Source organism: Homo sapiens, chromosome 2, assembly GCF_000001405.40.
Source record: "Homo sapiens chromosome 2, GRCh38.p14 Primary Assembly".
In the NCBI taxonomy this organism is placed as follows: Eukaryota; Metazoa; Chordata; class Mammalia; order Primates; family Hominidae; genus Homo; species Homo sapiens.
Genome location: NC_000002.12, coordinates 200,811,585 through 200,830,375, shown reverse-complemented (window position 1 = coordinate 200,830,375; position 18,791 = coordinate 200,811,585). Strand labels below are relative to the sequence as shown.

The 18,791-nt window shown below is 40.9% G+C and overlaps 1 protein-coding gene, 1 long non-coding RNA gene and 1 pseudogene across 11 annotated transcripts in view, besides 4 other annotated features; 1 reads left to right on the top strand and 2 right to left on the bottom strand.

Moving 5' to 3' along the window:
* Positions 260 to 367, bottom strand: RNU6-31P (RNA, U6 small nuclear 31, pseudogene; annotated as a pseudogene).
* Positions 3,038 to 18,787, bottom strand: BZW1 (basic leucine zipper and W2 domains 1). Of its 10 annotated transcripts, none has more exons than NM_001207067.2 (12): positions 18,386 to 18,466; positions 17,095 to 17,168; positions 14,859 to 15,035; positions 14,615 to 14,709; positions 13,986 to 14,051; positions 13,135 to 13,270; positions 12,293 to 12,402; positions 11,983 to 12,153; positions 11,475 to 11,621; positions 10,256 to 10,394; positions 9,071 to 9,193; positions 3,038 to 8,229 (listed from the first exon to the last, which is right to left on the bottom strand). In NM_001207067.2, the coding sequence occupies exons 2-12, from the start codon at positions 17,156 to 17,158 to the stop codon at positions 8,198 to 8,200; spliced, it is 1,260 nt and encodes a 419-aa protein (NP_001193996.1). In that variant the 5' UTR covers positions 17,159 to 17,168; positions 18,386 to 18,466; the 3' UTR covers positions 3,038 to 8,197. The 10 variants fall into 10 exon arrangements, with proteins under 10 accessions (NP_001193996.1, NP_001308620.1, NP_055485.2 ...); NM_001321691.2 differs by having other exon boundaries at positions 10,358 to 10,394; NM_014670.4 differs by having other exon boundaries at positions 10,256 to 10,304; positions 11,583 to 11,621.
* Positions 17,113 to 17,628: an enhancer, noted in NCBI's record as "H3K27ac hESC enhancer chr2:201677471-201677986 (GRCh37/hg19 assembly coordinates)". NCBI's record gives its function as "activates a minimal SCP1, AML or CMV promoter by ChIP-STARR-seq in primed H9 embryonic stem cells {active_cell/tissue: H9 hESC(primed)}" and the evidence as "EXISTENCE:reporter gene assay evidence [ECO:0000049][PMID:30033119]".
* Positions 17,629 to 18,144: an enhancer, noted in NCBI's record as "H3K27ac hESC enhancer chr2:201676955-201677470 (GRCh37/hg19 assembly coordinates)". NCBI's record gives its function as "activates a minimal SCP1, AML or CMV promoter by ChIP-STARR-seq in primed H9 embryonic stem cells {active_cell/tissue: H9 hESC(primed)}" and the evidence as "EXISTENCE:reporter gene assay evidence [ECO:0000049][PMID:30033119]".
* Positions 17,629 to 18,262: a biological region, named in NCBI's record as "H3K27ac hESC enhancer GRCh37_chr2:201676955-201677470".
* Positions 17,893 to 18,262: a silencer, noted in NCBI's record as "silent region_12228". NCBI's record gives its function as "represses an Ori minimal core promoter by ATAC-STARR-seq in GM12878 lymphoblastoid cells {active_cell/tissue: GM12878}" and the evidence as "EXISTENCE:reporter gene assay evidence [ECO:0000049][PMID:35858748]".
* Positions 18,206 to 18,791, top strand: part of BZW1-AS1 (BZW1 antisense RNA 1) — a 31,676-nt gene continuing 31,090 nt past the window's right edge. Inside the window, exon 1 of the long non-coding RNA NR_110275.1 lies at positions 18,206 to 18,591. This is a non-coding gene — a long non-coding RNA (BZW1 antisense RNA 1). The remainder of the gene's footprint in view (positions 18,592 to 18,791) is intronic.

Here is an 18,791-nt window from a genome sequence, read left to right as displayed (position 1 = left end):
ACAGGTGTGAGCCATCGTGCCCGGCCATTATTTTTATATTTTTTAAATTAAATTTTTTTATTATACTTTAAGTTCTAGGGTTTGCACAACGTGCGGGTTTGTTACATCATATGTATACATGTGCCATGTTGGTGTGCTGCACCCATTAACTTGCCATTTACATTGGGTATATCTCCTAATGCTTTCCCTCCCCACTCCCCCCAACCCACGACAGGCCCCGGTGTGTGATATTCCCCTTCCTGTGTCCAAGTGTTCTCATAAAAATATGGAACGCTTCACGAATTTGCGTGTCATCCTTGCACAGGGGCCATGATAATCTTCTCTGTATCGTTCCAATTTTTAGTATATGTGCTGCCGAAGTGAGCACTATTTTTTTTTTTTTTTTGAGACACAGTCTCGCTGTCACCCAGGCTGGAGTGCACTGGCGCGATCTCGGCTCACTGCAAGCTCCGCCTCCCGGGTTCACGCCATTCTCCTGCCTCACCCTCCCGAGTAGTTGGGACTACAGGCGCCCGCCACCACACCTGGCTAATTTTTTTTTTTTTTTGTATTTTTAGTGGAGATGGGGTTTCACCATGTTAGCCAGGATGGTCTCGATCTCCTGACCTAGTGATCTGCCCGCCTCTGCCTCCCAAAGTGTTGGGATTACAGGCGTGAGCCACTGCGCCTGGCTTTTATTTTTAATACGGCACTTTTTTACTCTGTCTGGTATCCCCCAGTCCATTATCACCCTCTCCTCCCCTTTTTCCAACTTTTGCAGATGGTGAAACTTCTGTTTTCTGCTGAATTTGTGCAGGGGCACTCACCTGCCAGCATAGGGGGAAGGGATGGCCTAAGACATTCAATAAACTTGTTTTCAGCTCCACCATACTCACACCCACTCTCAGAAGAAATTAGCATCCCTGACTCCCAAGACCTTGCGGAGTTTGGCAGTTCCAATCAACTTCCTGGGTTGTTGTTAGCAACCTGCGACACCACAAGGGCTTAGCAGAACAGAGAAAGCTAAAACCAAGCTGGTTGTTGGTCATATCTGCTTGCCTTCTTCCAACAGTTGGATATTTTTCATTTGCCATTAACTCTCCTCTCTTGTTCTTAGAAGTTGATAATATTTATACTGTTACTACAAAGGATTTTGTGAGATTCACTGAATACTTGACCAGTCACACAAAGCATGATTATCATTCACTACTGGGCTATAAGGATTTCAGCTACTATCTTGCTTCTCCTTTTTTATAGTTGCTAAAGCAGGCATCATAATGATGGCTGCTGGCACTTAAATTACCTTCCACCAGTTCCTATCAAACATAAAAACCTGTATTTATGGCTGGGCGCGGTGGCTCACGCCTGTAATCCCAGCCCTTTGGGAGGCCGAGGCGGGTGGATCACCTGAGGTCGGGAGTTCGAGACTAGCCTGACCAACATGGAGAAACCCCATCTCTACTAAAAATACAAACAAAATTAGCCGAGTGTGGTGGCACATGCCTGTAATCCCAGCTACTTTAAGTAGAACTTCTCAACTGCCCCATGTAGTTGAGACTGTCATTTTATCACTGGGTAAAATGATACCATTTTTTTCCCCCAGAGATGGGGTCTCACTATGTTGCCCAGGCTGGAGGGCAGTGGCTATTCTCACATATGATCATAGCTCACTATATCCTCGAACTCCTGGACTCAAGCAATTCTTTATCTCAGCCTCCCCAGTAGCTGAGATTACAGGTGTGTGCCACTGTGCCCAGCAATGATATCATTTAATCAAAATTAGATTGCCATTCTCATTTTACAGGTTCAGGAAACAAGATTCAGAGGCTAAATTATTTGCCCAGTCACACAGCTAACAGATGGAGACAGATCTTTCTCCATTAGACTGTAGGTATGCACTGTTTTGTTCAGATATTAGGCATTTGCAAACCATATTTTATCAGCAAGTGCAATTTGTCTTTCACGGTATCCTAATAATTTACAGATTATATTCTTGAGACTGGACTCTCCAATTTGCCAGTCCCTCCCACATCCTTTCGTTTTGCATTCAGCCTACTCTTCCTTTCCTATCTCCTCCTATGGGCTTGAATCTTGGGGTCCAGTGCTGTTCATTACCATAGTCTTAAAGCTCAGCAGAGGGCCTGACAGTGTATGTTTCACATTTGCTGACTGCCAGCTTCTCATCCTGTCTTGGTCACATCAAGCAATACTAACCACAGGGCACAAATAGCTTTCATCTAATCTTGTCTAAGAAAAGTTGCTTCCTAATACTTGGAATTCACATAACAGTTTTCATTCTACAAGCAAACATCCCTCCTAGTTGTCTTTTTAATAACAGTATTAAGCGTGACACCTACAGTCCCAGCCACTGAGGTGCGAAGATTGCTTGAGCCCAGGAGTTTGAGGCTGCACTCAGCTATGATCATGTCAGTCTGGGTGACAGGACAAGACCACCTCAAAAAACAAAACACAAATGGTATTAACTGATGGGCTTTATAATCTTTTTCCTATCTTCACTATTCCCTGGATACTAATCCAGTCAGTAACCAGCTTGTTCAATTACCTGCAGGTTTGGATGTGACAAGCTCTGCCAACTACACAGCACATAGTGACGAAGAGGAAAAGGCAGATGAAGCTGAATAGTTCATGAAAGACCACCTAGGCAAAGACAAAGATTTTAAACTGGTAAACTACATCCAAAGACCACTCTTGCTGTTAAAAGATGAGATACACAAAAGTGGATGCAAAAATCACTTAGTAACTAGGTAAGATGCTGGTGGCCTGAACTGCGGTGGCATTTGAGATTACTTTGGAGTTAAAGTGGACAGGACTTGAAGCATTCTGGAGTAGATCACATTCATCTCTTTTGAATTAAACACTGGCATTTTTGGAACATGTACCAACAGTTTGAAGTACATGAGCCATACAAATGCAAAAATGAGACTGGAGAAAAAAATATCTGGAAGCACAGGCCCTTACATCATATTTAAAACACTGAGCAAAATGGGAAAGGTCAAGGACTGAGGCCTTAGTGTACAACCAACTGAACAGTCATTGCTTTTCTCTACATTAACAAGGAGTCTCATGAAATTTTATTCCATTTCAAGGGTACAGACAAGAAGCAAGTTTCACAGTTAAACACAGAAATAACGCAGCAATAGAATTACTGGCTTGGATGGCTGTATTTGAGGTTTTTTAGAGTGCCAAGAGCTAAATGAGTTACCAGCTATCCAGTTTTCTCCATTCTGTGTGCCGTCCTGGGCGCCATTGCTCCTAACTAGAATGGAAATGAGGTGTATTTACAGAGAAAATATTTTGTTCTTCAAATGCCAGAGACTGTTGAGTATCTTTTTGAAGTCATAGAGGCTTCAGTCTATAAATGAATCACTTATTTCCAACAGGTTTATCTCTAACTTTTAAGCATAGCCTTCAGGATTTCAGATTAAAAAAAAAAAAGCTGTAAACTATTTTTGTCCTTAAGAATATTAGCATGAACTAGCTCCTAGCTTGTTTTGCCAAGGTATTTTTAAATGGTTACACTGACTGGAAACAGAACAGCTCAATTATATTTGATTAACGTTGTAGCACCCCAAATGCACTACACAACCACCAACATTCTAATCATACCACAGTTTAACAAGCTATCAGTCCTTCTGGATAAGATGACAAAGCAAGGGATTCTGCAGATTTTAACCACTGTCCCCACTAGAGCACTATAGTAGTTGCCACAAGCAGTTAAGCCTTTAACAACTGAGGTTCTGATTCAAGGTTACTAAAATGACAGTGATTGAGTACATTTAAAAATACCTTAGCCGGGCTTGGTTGGTGGGCGCCTGTAATCCCAGCTAGGAGGCTGAGACAGGAGAATGGTGTGAACCCCCAAGGCGGAGCTTGCAGTGAGCCGAGATTGTGCCACTGCACTCCCGCCTGGGCGACAGAGCGAGACTCTGTCTCAAAAAAAAAAAAAAAAAAAAAAAAAAAAAAAAAAATATCTATCTATCTATCTATCTATCTATCTATCTATATCTTCATCCCATCAACTCATTAAGAACTGAGACTATACTCCTAGCATAAAGATGAAAGGATGATAAGTACACTGGAAAATAAAAATAATTAGATTTGAAATGACTGTTAATTGCCTCTAGTTAAGCTGGGAGAAAAAAGTGAAGAGAAAGGAGTCAGAAAGCCTTTCTGATCCAGTTTCATATAATTATGTCTAAGATTGTTCAGATATTAATCCACTTAAGAGTTTTTGGACAAAAGCCAATTATAAACTCATTACTCCAAAGACAAAGGTACTTGTCACATCATCCAGATTCCACTTAAATCAAGTCCACTGAAAACCTTTTTATTCCTGGTATTTTAACCTGTAGGCCTTAGTAGGCTGGGGAATAGAAAAACTTCGTATTGATACTAGAGGACTAATACTGAGCATGAAAAATCATAGCAAGGCAATTTACCAGAATTTGCAAATACTTATCAACCTATTTTATATGGCACCTGTAGACAGCATCTGAGGAATATTTGTACAAAGGTAATTTGGTAATTTAAGTAACACTGTACACTAAAACTTTGGCATCTACATTACATTTAAAGCCAACCAATAGTTGTCAGTTCCTGCAAGCAGCCTACTTCAGTATGAGAGCAGAGGTTTATCAGTGTTATGCCTACAACTTTAATTCATTCATCTAGAGGATTTTCACTGATTTTTATAGAAAGAACCCAAATGATTCTACTTAGTAATACATTTATAATCAAGAAAGAATCTGTTAAGACCTTGAAAGACAGCAGGAAATGCTTTGTCTGTTGCCTGTGGTGGGGTAAGGAACAAAGCACAACTGGTGAAAGATTGGCTGAAAATGAATTTCGTCTACTTTCTATTGACCCTGACAGAAAAAATACTACTTCACTGTATAAACATAAAGACATGCCTGCCAATGCAAAGGTCTATCACTAGGTCTTCTTCCCTTTTAAAAAATATTAGAGCATGCATTCTCAATGGGGGTCAATCACTACCAAGGATTTAAAAAAAAAAAATTGGTTGGGCATGGTGGCTCACGCCTGTAATCCCAGCACTTTGGGAGGCCAAGGCAGGCAGACCACGAGGTCAGGAGTTTGAGACCAGCCTGATCAACGTGGTGAAACCTCTACTAAAAATACAAAAATTAGCCAGGGGTGGTGGTGGCCGCCTGTAATCCCAGCTACTCAGGAGGCTGAAGCAAGAGAATCGCTTGAACCCAGGAGGCAGAGATTGCAGTGAGCTGAGATCATGCCATTGCACTCCAGCCCAGGTAACAGAGTGAGACTGTCTCCAAAACAAAAACAAAAACATTTTACTCTTTTCATGTACAAAGCACAGAAACAGTACATACACAGCGTATCTATGGTAATAAAATTTATGGGGGACTCTATTAGAAAAAAGTCTAGCTGGGCGCGGTGGCTCAAGCCCATAATCCCAGCACTTTGGGAGGCTGAGGCGGGTGGATCACAAGGTCAGGAGATTGAGACCATCCTCGCTAATCCGGTGAAACCTCGTCTCTACTAAAAATACAAAAAAATTAGTCGGGCATGGTGGCGGGCGCCTGTAGTCCCAGCTACTCGGGAGGCTGAGGCAGGAGAATGGCGTGAACCCGGGAGGCGGAACTTGCAGTGAGCCAAGATCGCGCCACTGCACTCCAGCCTGGTGACAGAGCGAGACTCCGTCTCAAAAAAAAAAAAAAAAAAGCCTAAAAAGGCTGGGGGTATGATAATGGAAAAAAGCTTTTGAAAAACTGAATTAGAAGTCCAACCTCTTGGTCACATGCATTTCCCCTAACTAAAATATGCTATTTCAAAATATCCTGTAGCATTTTTGGTATATGGAGGTTTTTTTTTTTAAATAAGAATGGAATAAACATCTATATATAGAATGAAATAACATCTATAACTCACAGAGTAAGGCTAAGAAACTTACAACCAGCTCTAAAAACTCATTTAGTTTCTAAGGAGACAGCCTTAGAAACTGACAGTTAGAAAAAACATTTATCCAATCATAATTAAAAGTACAATTTAACATCTATATTAAGAATTACATACTTGAGGCCATAGGCTGGCACTGGCACCTGAATTCTAAAATTACCACTTAAGATTCAGAATGGAATCTTTTTATATGGAATGGAATCTGCAATCTTTTTATAAAGCATTCCCTTTCTTTACACTATTACTGTCACAAGTGATATCCACTTACTATAATGTTCTACTAAGTAAACACTACAGTGTCATTATGAAGAAACAAACTACGATCAAAGATAATAATGTAGTTCTGGAAGATGACACACTTTTTCACTATACACAGTATAAAATGGCACACTTTGTATGGAAGAAACATGCAATGAATTGGTTGTAGAAATATTAATGTAGTTTTAGCTACACCAGAATTCTGTGTAGGTGGTTTACAGTTTGGGAGTCTAATTATTACTTAATGGTATACAGATACAGTAAAGACATCTGAACACACAACATACAATACCACTAGGTATTAACATGGAATTTAAAAAAAAAAAGACTGATGTATAAAGCCTAAGTGTAAGTATGGACTTTATTTTTTTAAAAAAAAGTCTTTTGAGAACTACAAATTACAAAGTAAAAGCAGATCACTACGTAGAAATCTAGTGAATACATTTTGCCTGTGCATGAAAAACTTTATCAAAGTTACTCATTTTAACAAATTCACCCCATTCACAACAATCAGTTATAATGTTCTTTTTAAGGTTACTATACCTTTATTTCAAATTATATTACATGTTATTCCCTCAAAATGAACTTTTAAATGACAAACTTTTGGCTCATAAGAATGGCACCTTCAAAAGGGGCGATTTCCACTCAGTCTCTGGTGGCATTATTCCAGGCTAGTTTCACCAGTTAAAAACCTTCAAAATGTTCACTTTTAACACAAAGTCTTCCCATAAAAAATGTGGCTACATTTTCCCCCCAATGACTACATACATAGATGGGTAGCAGCAAGAAAAGATGAAAATGAAAAGGCAGCCATTAAAATAAATGGATCAATTGTATACCAAGAAGTATTTGGCTCATGGCAATTAAAAAACGGCAACTAGGGTATGTTAATAGCCAGAGGCTTGAGTCATTACTGAGTATATTAAGAGAACGAAGCCAGTCCAGTATGACCGAGTAGGAATATATAATTGTCATTGCACTTCATTTGTTATAGCAAATACTCTAAGCCAATAGGAAATCTAAGCTATATCTAGATTCCCAATTAGAACATGCTGACCTTTAACATTTTCAACAATTTTTACTGGGTTTAGTACATCAGTCATTTTCTTTACTCAAACTCCATTACGAGTTCTTTCCTATCAATCTAAGTGTATTCTGTGCATAAAATACCTTAAATGTTAAGACTTTTCTAAGGTTCATTTGAAAATGGTTGTATGAAAAGAATACCCATTTGTTTTGCCTGGAAAGATAGAAACTAAATGCAGAAGTTTCTCAAGGGGAAAAAGCTCAACTTTCTTCTTCCCACCACCTCTGCCACATTATGATTTCCTAAACTTTTCAAGTCTGTTCTCCATGGCTTCTCTAAGGATGAAAACCAGAGACCAAACAATTGAGCTTTAGGATATCTGGAGTTAAAAATGCAAAACAAAACAAAACAAAACAAAACAAAAAGTTAACATGCAAGCAATGGTCCACGTACTCAAGATTCATGTTAAATGAATTCGATTATTACATATGGGTTTTTCATTGATGAGCAGGGCTCCGGGCATGCCATATTATCTCACAAATCATTGCCTTTTGAGACTCTGGATACTTTTCCAGTTTAATTTGCAAACAGAATTTTTATAACAAATTATTTTTTAACCAAATCATATCCTTAAAACTGTTTATAGAAAACCCAGGGAATAAAGTGAACTGTTCATTGTGGAAGGCCTTAAATTACATTATTACAGTAGAAAATACAGGAGGTAGAAGATAACTGAAAAGACTAATGCAACATTAGATTCAAATCTATAGCTCCTGTAGCTACTTAAAACATGGTTTTAGAAACTAAACCCAACATTTCCAGCAACCATAGAAACAGTTAAAATAAAATTTGCCATGAAAGCCCTTATATCATGCTTGATACAGGGAGGTAGGAAGATGTAAGAACCAGGACACATGAGACATGACATTTTATCTACAACTCCTGTTTGCTTTACTGAGGGTGTAGTTTCAAAATTCAGTCACCTTCTTCAGCTTCAGATTCAGATTCTAGAAAAGGGGAAAAAAACAGTCAAACATTATGTATCAGAAGGCAAAAGTTCCCATTTATAACTTTGAAGCTTCTTTAAGACAGAGTCTCCCTCTGTCCCACAGGCCGGAATGCAGCAGCACCCTCTTGGCTCACTGCAACCTCTGCCTCCCGGGTTCAAGTGATCCTCCCACTTCAGTTTCCCAAGTAGCTGGAACTACAGGCGCCCACCACCAAAACTGGCTAATTTTTTATTTTTAGTAGAGACTGGGTTTCCCATGTTGTCCAGGCTGGCCTCATACTCCTGGCCTCAAATGACCTGATCGCCTCAGCCTCCCAAAGTGCTAGGATTACAGGCGTGAGCCACCACACCCAGCCTCCATGTAACTTTGAAGCTGTTAACGAATTTTATTAATAACCTATTTACATGAGGCAGATATTCAAAAGCATTCACTTGGAAATCCCAACATTTGGCTGGGTGCAATCACATCTGCAATCCCTGTACTTTGTGAGGCTGAGGCAGGAAGGTTGTTTGAGCCCAGGAGTTCAAGACCAGCATCGGCAACATAGTGAGACTCTGTCTCTATATTTTTAATTAAAAAAAAAAAGAAAAGAAATCCACAAATTTATAAACATTAAATATTCTCAAAATTTTCCATTTCATGAAGAACATTTACTATTATGGCTGAGCCATAAATATACTATAATAATTAAACTCTAGCTTTCGCCACCTGCCTTATAACAAAAATCTCTACTCCAGGTACAAAATGGCATCAGAAAGAAGGAAGCATGTGTGAAGATATATTATGGCCACATTAAAATTAGCTTTACCAAACAAACCACACAAAGGAAAATCCTTACCTTCTTCAGCATTTTTGAGCCATTCTACAAACTTTTTCATTTGCTCAAGGAAAACACTCTTCCCCTTTGCAACATGTGCATCTTTATACCACTTCAAAATGGGCTCCTCGCTCAGGACTTCAGCTGGAAAGAAAACTCATTGCATTAAGGGAGTTTTAATATACTCTACTCAGCGTTAGAACCACCACCTAATGTGCAAATGCCTGCTTAGCAAACAAACTGCTGAAAAGCTAAAAACATCCATGAGAAATGGAAGATAATAATACATGTGCGCATACCAACTACACTCAACGGGATCAAGACTGGTCTGATTAGTGCAGAATTTCAAAGTGTTATGACCAACTGCAATGGATTTTCTCCCAACAGAGGTCTTGTCTTTACTAGCCACTTTAGACCAGGTTTCTAAAATTGGGATCAGGAGAAAAGGGAACAATATAACTGAAATTGGGGTTGCTATAGAAGCACTCTGAACTGGTCTTGAAGGACTACGGAAAGTCAACACTGGGTGGGGGAGTAAGATGAACAGAAGCAGGATTCACACAGGCTGAAGACTCCAGAGCTATGACTACATAGCTAAGACTACAGACTGTCTGGAAAAGGGACTTGGGGATTTTTTTTTTTTGAAACAGGGTCTCACTTGTTGCCTAGGCTGCTGGAGTGCAGTGGCACAATCATGGTTCACTGCAGCCTTGACCTCCTAGGCTCAAGTGATCCTCCTACCTCAGCCTTCTGAGTTGCTGGGACTACAGGCTTGCGCCACCATTCCCTGCCTAATTTTTTATTTTTTTTGTAGAGATGAGGTCTCCTTATGCAGTCCAGGCCGGTCTTGAACTCTTGGGCTCAAGCGATCCTCCAGCCTCAGGCTCCCAAAGTGTTGGGGTCACAAGTATGAGCCACCACACCTAGCTGAACTTTGGGAATGTATACCTGGTTAAGAGTATAGGAGGCAAGTTTGAGGACGCATAATGATGGCTTTAGATTTCATACTTCAACTTGTGAATAGGGTTTAGATGTTTTAAACAAGTATCAGTGCACTAAAAAGCACCCAATTTAATCAGAGGTGACTCATAACTAGAAGTAAAATATTTCAGGGAGCTGATGTCCAGATAACTCATCATTTGGATAATTTTGTGTTTATAAGGGTTTTTATTAAGTGTTATTTACAAAATTCAAAATCTAAATTACCTTTATAAAAAAGCACCACTATTTTCTGGAAGGCTTTCATGAAATGAATGTTGTCATAGCAATACTCCTGAATCTTCAGTAACAGAGTCAGCTCAGACTGACCTTGAGTAGTAAAGGCAGCAAGTAGAGGGCTGTATTGCTTTTAAAGGAACAGAGAAAAGATTTAGTCATTCATTACAAATAACCATCCATTACAAAACTCCTACAATACAGACAATATAGAACTTAACTCATCTTTTATAATCACTGCAAACTATAACTTATTTACCAGAAATTTAAAAAATAGGCTGGGCACAGTGGCTCACGTCTGTAATCCCAGCACTTTGGGAGGCCGAGGCGGGTGGATCACTTGAGGTCAGGAGTTCGAGACCAGCCTGGCCAATATGGTAAAAGCTCGTCTCTACTAAAAATACAAAAATTAGCCAGGCACTACTTGGGAGGCCGAGGAGGCAGAACTGCTTGAACCCAGGAGATGGAGGCTGCAGTGAGCTGAGATCACATCACTGCACTCCAGCCTGGGTGACAGAGTGAGACTGTCTCAAGAGAAAAAAAAAAAAGCAGAAAATCTAAGTAGCTAAGTAAAATAAACAATACTATACCAAGTAGTCCAAGTAAATGTCAAACAATATTAGTATTTTAGAGGGGGGGAAAAATTCCTATTTTCCAATACCCCCTTCAAAAGCAAACATCTAATTACAAGCTGAAGTTCCTTTTCATCATGTTCTTTTTTTTGAGGCAGGATCTCACCCTGTCACCCAGGCTTTGTCTGACAAAGCCATCATAAGCTCACTGCAGTCTTGATCTCCAGGGCTCAAGAGATCCTCTGCCTCAGCCTCCTGAGTAGTTGGGACTACAGGCATGCGCCACCACGACTGGCTATTTTTTGTGATTTTTAGTAGAGATGAGGTCTCACTATGTTGCCCAGGCACGTCTTAAACTGAGCTCAAGCAATCCTCCTGCCCTTGCCTCCCAAAGTGCTGGGTTTACAGGCGTGAGCCATTGTGCCTGGCCAGGCCATATTCTTGTTTTTAACCTGTGAACCACAGCCCAATTCAGAGCATTATCATCAATAGCTAATGTTACTATTTGTTTATTTACTGGTGGGCCATCCCTAGGAACCACAGGATGTGATAAATCCTCTTAGAAAAATATAGTCACAGTTCACTTATCACCACGTGAAAGCAGAATAGTTTGTTTTGTCAAGGCATAGTTCTAATACCTTCAAGTGCTTGATGGCTTGCTCTGCTACAAGCTCCTCTTTTTTGTTCCATTCCACAGTGCTCATTACACTTGACCAGACTATTCCGATGACAACTGGCTCTGGGATGTTGTTTTTTTTCATCTCCTCCTTGACATATAAAATTATCTGCAAATGAATCCAAATTTAGTAACAGAAGTCAGTTTTGATTATGTACATACTTCACACATCAAGTTTAGACCTTTAACAAAAACTAACAACTCCTTTTCCATGCAACTGGCAACCACATGTGTACCACATATAAAAAGAGACCTTTACAACTGAAAGGTGCCCTGAGCTCCAGTCTCTTGTATTTCTGGGCCTCAGTCAGGCACTGAAGAAGCATATGCAAAAGAATGAGGCAAAGTTCCAGTATAACATCCTGTTACTATTAACTCAATCTCATCCTGGTGAAGTAAGTTCCTCAAATTAGTGAAAATCTCTATGCCAGAAGCTTAGCCATAAAAAGACGGTTTAAACAAAAACTTACATCCTTAAATGGATCACCACGGGACATCTGTTCTTGAAGTTCTTTCTGGAGCTCCTTACGAGCTCCGATGGTTTGCTGATTCCGAACATATTCTGAAAGCTCTTTCAAGCCTGCCTCAGTAAAATATTTTGTGAAGTGTTCAACACTTTGCTTATTGGCAGGAAAGAGTTCCTAAAAGAAGAATTTATCTGGTTAAACTTTCTTTAAATCAGATTAAGAAAAACACTTTCTTTTCACAGTCTTAAAAATGAGAAATTTCTCTCATTTACATCCTTGGCAAGAATGGGAAGAATGAAAAAAAGTTACCAACCATCAGTCTGTTATCCATGCTGACTTTCCGAAGACTTGCAGCTACTGCATTGATATCTTTTTCATTTATCCATGATTTAAAGAGCTTCACAGCAAAAGCTGCTGAAACTCCTGTAAAAGAAAATAGCTTAATTAACAGAAGTACCTTCCCTGGTTTCAATCACTGTGTCCCCCTATATCCTTCCCTTCATAGTTCAATCACATGGGATTACTGACTTTCCTCACAAACTTAACCCTGAACTTTCCTGGGCCACAGTTTATCACTTCTCCAATCTCCCTAGTCTACCACTTGCAAATTGTATATTCTTGGCCAAGTTACTTAAAGTGTTTTCCAAAGTATAAATTGAGGGCAACAGTCTCTACACTTGACAAGACTGTTGTGAGAATTACAGTAAGGTAACTTAAATACTCACTACTGCAAGCAGTTTTTTAAAAAAAAAAAAGCTTCAAAAAAATTACTGTAGAGAATAATCCGACAATTGGAGCCAAACAGGGAACTGATTTTCCCTTCCAGCTTGACATTTTCCCCAAACGTCATCTTCTCCAAGTCTCCCAATTGGTATTAATCTCTTCTGGGGTTCCCACAGCATTTCTCATTTTATTTTTATTACATATAACAACATTTTGTCTAAATCTGGGTATCTGTTGTATGCCTAAAGAAAGCCATTAAACCTGGATGCCAAAGGTATTCATTAAATGTCTAGTGAATTAGACTGAACTTATTAAATTTAAGGCTGGTTAATAAACGAAGACTTTCACAGAAGTCACATCTATGAACAGTAAACCATGCTCTTATCCACCCCACTCTGAGTCAACTGAAGACCATCCTTTAAGGCTGATTACCTTCTTTAACCAAATTTTCATTATAAAGGCTATTAAGAATGGATGCATTAAGTGTTCCATTAGCCAGAAGAACACCAGTCAACATAGCTAGCTTGTTCCTCTCCGACTCTGAAAAACCCTTCAAGAACAGCAGCAGCTGTAAAAAGTAAAACAATTAAGGGTTAAAACAGCAACTGCATTACAATAAGAGAAGCAGTAAAGCATGTTATACTGGCTACCTGTTCAATACGTGGGCTCTGGGATCTAACCATCCAAGTTTACATCTAAGTTACAATACTCATTAGCTGAATGATCTCGGGCAAGTTACTTAACCTCTGCACCTCACATGTAAAATGTGGATAATAAAACTTGCCTCACAGGGTTTTTATAAACATTGAGTGAATTAGTATCATTAGAACAGTGCCTGGTGCTTGATAAACATATCAAGTTTTCTGGGCATCTATATGCAATATTGGGCCAGGCGTGTTGGCTCACACCTATAACCCCAGCACTTTGGGAGGCCGAGGGCAGATCACTTGAGGCCAGGAGTTCAAGGCCAGCCTAGCCAACATGGTGAAACCCTGTCTCTACTAAAAACAGAAAATTAGCTGGGCATGGTGGCACATGCCTGTAATCCCAGCTACTCGGGAGGCTGAGGCACGAGAATCGCTTGAACCCGGGAGGCAAAGGCTGCAGTGAGCTGAGACTGAGCCACTGCACCCCCAGCCTGGGACACAGAGTGAGGCTCTGTCTCAAAAAACAACCCAAACAAACAAGCAAAATTACTCCAAATCTGTGGCGGAATTAGGATTTAACATTCCTCTTTCTAACCCTATTTTTTTCTTTTCCACAAAGTACATTATTACTCATACCTTTTTTACTTCATCTTCAAAACCTTTCTCCAGGTATTTGTAGCGCCTGATTAACTTGTTAAAAACCTATGAAGAACATTAAATGAATTCAGTAACTTCATATATTTCTAGAATAGCAAAGTAGTAAACCTTTCACTCGATGTAAGTTTATGAGCTGCTTAAACCAGCTTGAGAAGAATTCCTAGTGACACATAAGAATGTCCAGGTTAGATGTACTTTAATTCTTTGCTTACAGTAACACAAACATAACTACGTATGAAACTTTCCAATGAGATCTTGATTAACAAGCTAATCAGCTCACAACTCATTTAACTTTAAAAATAAATGTATGCAGATAAACTAGAGAAATCACAATACGAAACTGACTTTTCCAGCTTGACATTTTTCTTAAAAATTGAGTAATTTCAGGACAAATAGGAACAGAAGAGTTAATTTCATTTTTCCCTATTTTGTTCGCCTTAACACACCTTAAGTTTCTAATTCATCCCGTTGCACCAAGAACAGTATCCCTAAAATTTAAAATCAAATTCCTTCAACTTTCTAACCACAACTCTTAAAAGTAGAATATTCCTCAAATATACCACATGGATAGTAGCCAACTGAAAACAATTATGTAAAGTTTCATTTACCTGAGCAAATGCTTGCATGGTCTCTAGATCTTCTTGGGCTGCAAACACGCAGACATCTGTACGCATCATGTCATCTGCCAGTGTACCACCTGGGGCTAAAGTTGGATAAAACCAAAATACAACAAAACCAAAAAAATCACTCCATTTTAACAAGTTTGCCAAATAGTTCATATTCTAGACTCTCCATAATCTCCATATATTATACCTTTCTAAATTATTAAGCCCACAAACCACAGACACTTACCCAGCATTCCACCAGCCACCAGAATGTCAAAGAGTGTTTCTGCATATCGACGGTAATCAAGTTTTGCTCCAGAAGCATCAAGAAACTTAGCTACTGCTTCCAAATCAGTACCGGTTTCAGTTAAGCCTTGAATAATACAGTCTTGAAACTGAGTAGGGTCAAACCTCTCTTTTTCATCTGGGGGGACAAGGGACCCAAAACATTTAGTTTTAAAAGATTTACCAAAATGCCACAAAACTATCACCTTATGAAGATGCAATTGTTAAATAAGTTAGATTAAATTCACATCCTTTGCATGTTTCCCCTCTGCAAGTGTAAGACAAGATGGCCCACTCACAAGAATTGTGCAACTTTTCAAATAATTTCACAAGTGATCTAAATGTGCTAGTGTCTTGTGTTCCTACTGCCATAAGCCAATTTCTACTGGGAACGCCCTCCTACTGCCTCTTGGCTTTTCCAAAATTTAGGCCATCCTCTAACAGGTACATTTTATTCCTTTGGGTTTTGTCCAGACACTGGAGCTCTTGATCCTTTTCCTTAAATGTCCATAATATTAAACAAACAAAAAAATTGAACCAATCCTTTGGCATTTATGAAGGTGAGCTTTAGAAAGTACATTTAATGAGCACCCAATGACAGAAACTATATTAAGCATTTGCTTTAATCCTGTTAACAACCTTGTGAGGCAGATTTTTCCCCCTATTATTCAGAAGGAAAACTGAGAGTCAGAGAAATTAGGTAATCAAGAGACTATATTGTGTAGTAGTTCAGTACATGGGCTCTGGAGTTAAACTGCCTGATTCAAATCCTGACCACCATTTAACCACCTGAATTCAAGCAAATAGTCTCACTCGCCATGCCAGAATTCCCCTACTGTAAAATGGGGATAAGAATAGTACCTATCCCATAAAGTTGTTGTAAATACCAAATGACATTAATAAAATAGAAAGCTCCCAGACCACAGCCTTGTGCACATACCTGACCTTTACTGAGTTGCTTTCACACACTTCATAATAGGGTTTTGCTTTCCCAATCTAGGCTAGATGACATCTGTTCACACAGTACTAGGGTGACAAACACCTCTGAGTGCCCAGCACTTTCCTGGTTTTAGCACTGAAAGTCTTGTGTCTGGAAACTCCCTCAGTCCCAGACAGGGAGTGTTGTATACCCTACCCAGTACCCTAACCATCAACAGCCAGGCCACGAATCATCTCTATCTGGAACCGGGGAAGTTACATCTCTCCCTGATGCTAATAATAAGAATGCTAAAGCTACTTGCTATTATTTGTATCAAGGTAACATCAGTAACCCACATATTCAAGAGATACACTTTCCCATTTTACTGCCAAACTGTTCTAGTTTACAACTCCAGCTCCTTAAGAAAATTTACCAGCTAAATCTAAATGAATCTGCAAAGATTAGAATCAAATCACACTTTGGTCTCCCCACCACTACTACAAGGGGACAGACAGCCTATGATTAGTGATTTTAAAATTCTACAATATATATCTCAAAATGTCTGCTACTTAAGGAAGAAAAAGAAAAACACAACTTATAACCAGTAGCTGACCTAGTTCTTCATTTCCTCAAAACCACCTGTAAAACAAGGTTAATATGCTTTTGACCAAAAACAGTAAAAATATATCTGAGACTACGTCTTATTTAGCTTTATATCACTAGCACAGCACTTTGCTACAGAATTCAATACTCACCTAAGTACACACTAATGCAAAAAAAAAATAGTAATATAATTCTAATACTTTTTCTACTAAGTCTGTATTTCAAAAGACATTACAATGTGAATCCTGTTCCACAATTAACTTCCATGGGTGAAGTCTGAGTTTTCTCTCACAAATCTTCACAAAATCTGGGTGACTACATTAGGAGTTCTCCTTTTATAAATTAACATTTTTGCTCATTTAAGTTTGCTTAAATGAGACTGCCTGCTAGTGAAAACAGAGCCCTTATTTTTATTTTTAAAAATATTTTACCTTCACACCGAAAAGAAGATTCACTAACCGGCTTAGAGATATATTGATACTAAAAATTAAGGCTTGAGCAGTAAAGCAGTAGAAATATTAAAGGTGTATGTGAAATGGCAGTCAACGAGAAATTCAAGTTTCTTTCTGGTATCTTCTTTTGAGGCTTTAGTAATATGCAAGTACCTGTCAGAGAAGGCAAGATACACAAGATGTTCTGGAGGTTTGAAGAGAGACATTAAAACGTAAATATTTACCTCTTTTTCTAGTTTTAAAACGCTGGCCTGATAGCGTTGGCTTTTGCTGCTTTTGATTATTCATAAAAGACACCCTAGGAAAGGAGAAATAAAGCCTTAATATCAGTGCCATAATACTAATTTTTAAAGCAAAACATCAAACCTTAGTCTAGTCACATATGAATCAAATGGAACACCCACTCTCAGGATATAAAGCTGGCAATTATACCCGATACAGGCACAAAGAATTACCTGCACTTGAATCAAATGTACGTCAAAATGTGCATTTCTCTCTACAAGAAACCCTTCAAATTAGTGCTGTGAACTACTTTTAAGCGACATTGTAGTGCTACAGTGATCACCCGTCATAAACCTAATTGTTCAGTTTTCTCCACATTCCTCTTTACATTCACTTACATCTTCCACGACCACTAAGCATCGCAGAACGCAAAGAGAGATTATCACCATAGTCAGCAGGCATCCAAAATGTGTATGCCAATTCTAAAACACTGTCAAAAGGTGAACCCCTTCTTCTGACAAGCCTGGTTACGGGCAGCACCATCCTACCCTAGGTCATGCCTGTGACCGCAACAGCGGCCGCCTTGCACCACTCAGGCCTGCAAAACTAACAGCCAGCCCAGCCTCCTTCGCCCATATCCCACAGTCCTAGCCTCCTCCCCGGTAACGTGTCTCCCAATCCACACCCTTCCCATGCCTCCCGCCCGAGCCACAGATCACCCGCTTCCCGCCCAGGACCCCATCGGCCACAGCGGGGCGCCGTAGGGTCCCGCGGCTCTTTCTCCACTGACCCTGTCGCCTGCGGTGGCGGCCGCCGCAACGAGCGGACCACAGTCACTGAGGCGCTTTGCGCCGGGGCCCCAGGCGCCCCGTACATCCGCCCGCCCTCCAGCGAAAGCAGCGGCGGAGGCGGCGGCCGCAGCGGTGGTGGGTGGCAGCCCCTCCGCCCCGCCCGCCGGAAGCCCCCACGCGTACATCACACAACAGAGGCCGCGGCGGCTTTGTTAGCCAGGCCGGGCACGGCCCAGAGGGAGCCCGCCTCGGCCACTGCCTTCGCAGCCAGCGCCGCGGCGCACACCCGGACCCCACCTCCCCACCCGGGCCGCCGCTACCCCTCGGCCTCCCTGCCGAAGCGGCGGCCTTTCAGGCCCTAGATCCGGCCCGGCCTCAAGAGGCGACCTCCGTTCGGGCCCATCCAAGCCGGGCCGCATCCAGCCCGCCGCCTCCCTCTCCCTCTGCCCGGCGTCCACGACCCGCAGCGTCCGCCCGGGGTGAGCGGGGCGCCGCGTCTCACCGAATTTAAGGCGAAGAGGAAAGAGCCAGAAATCCCCGATGTACCGGCAACTGCGGCGGTGTCTCCTCTGCGACCGGAACTAACGCCAGGAGGAGGGAGAGGTGCCACCCCCGCCCGGACCGCTCTCCTATCGCGAGATTTCTTCCCCTTGCCCCGCCCTGATCGTGGACAGGCGCTTCCGCCTTTTCTATTGCGCGCGGATTAGGGTGAGGGACTGGGATAGGGGAGGGGAGAGACGTTTCCAGTCTTCTTTATTCCCTTACTGGGTTCCACGTCGCCTGGACACTTGTCCTAGACTAGCTTATTTTTCTTCCCCCGCTGCGTCGTCCGCCCTCTTCACACATGGAGGGGTTGGAAGAGCGGAGCCGGCCCCCGCCGGTCTCGAAGTTGGACGCGTCCTCCTGGA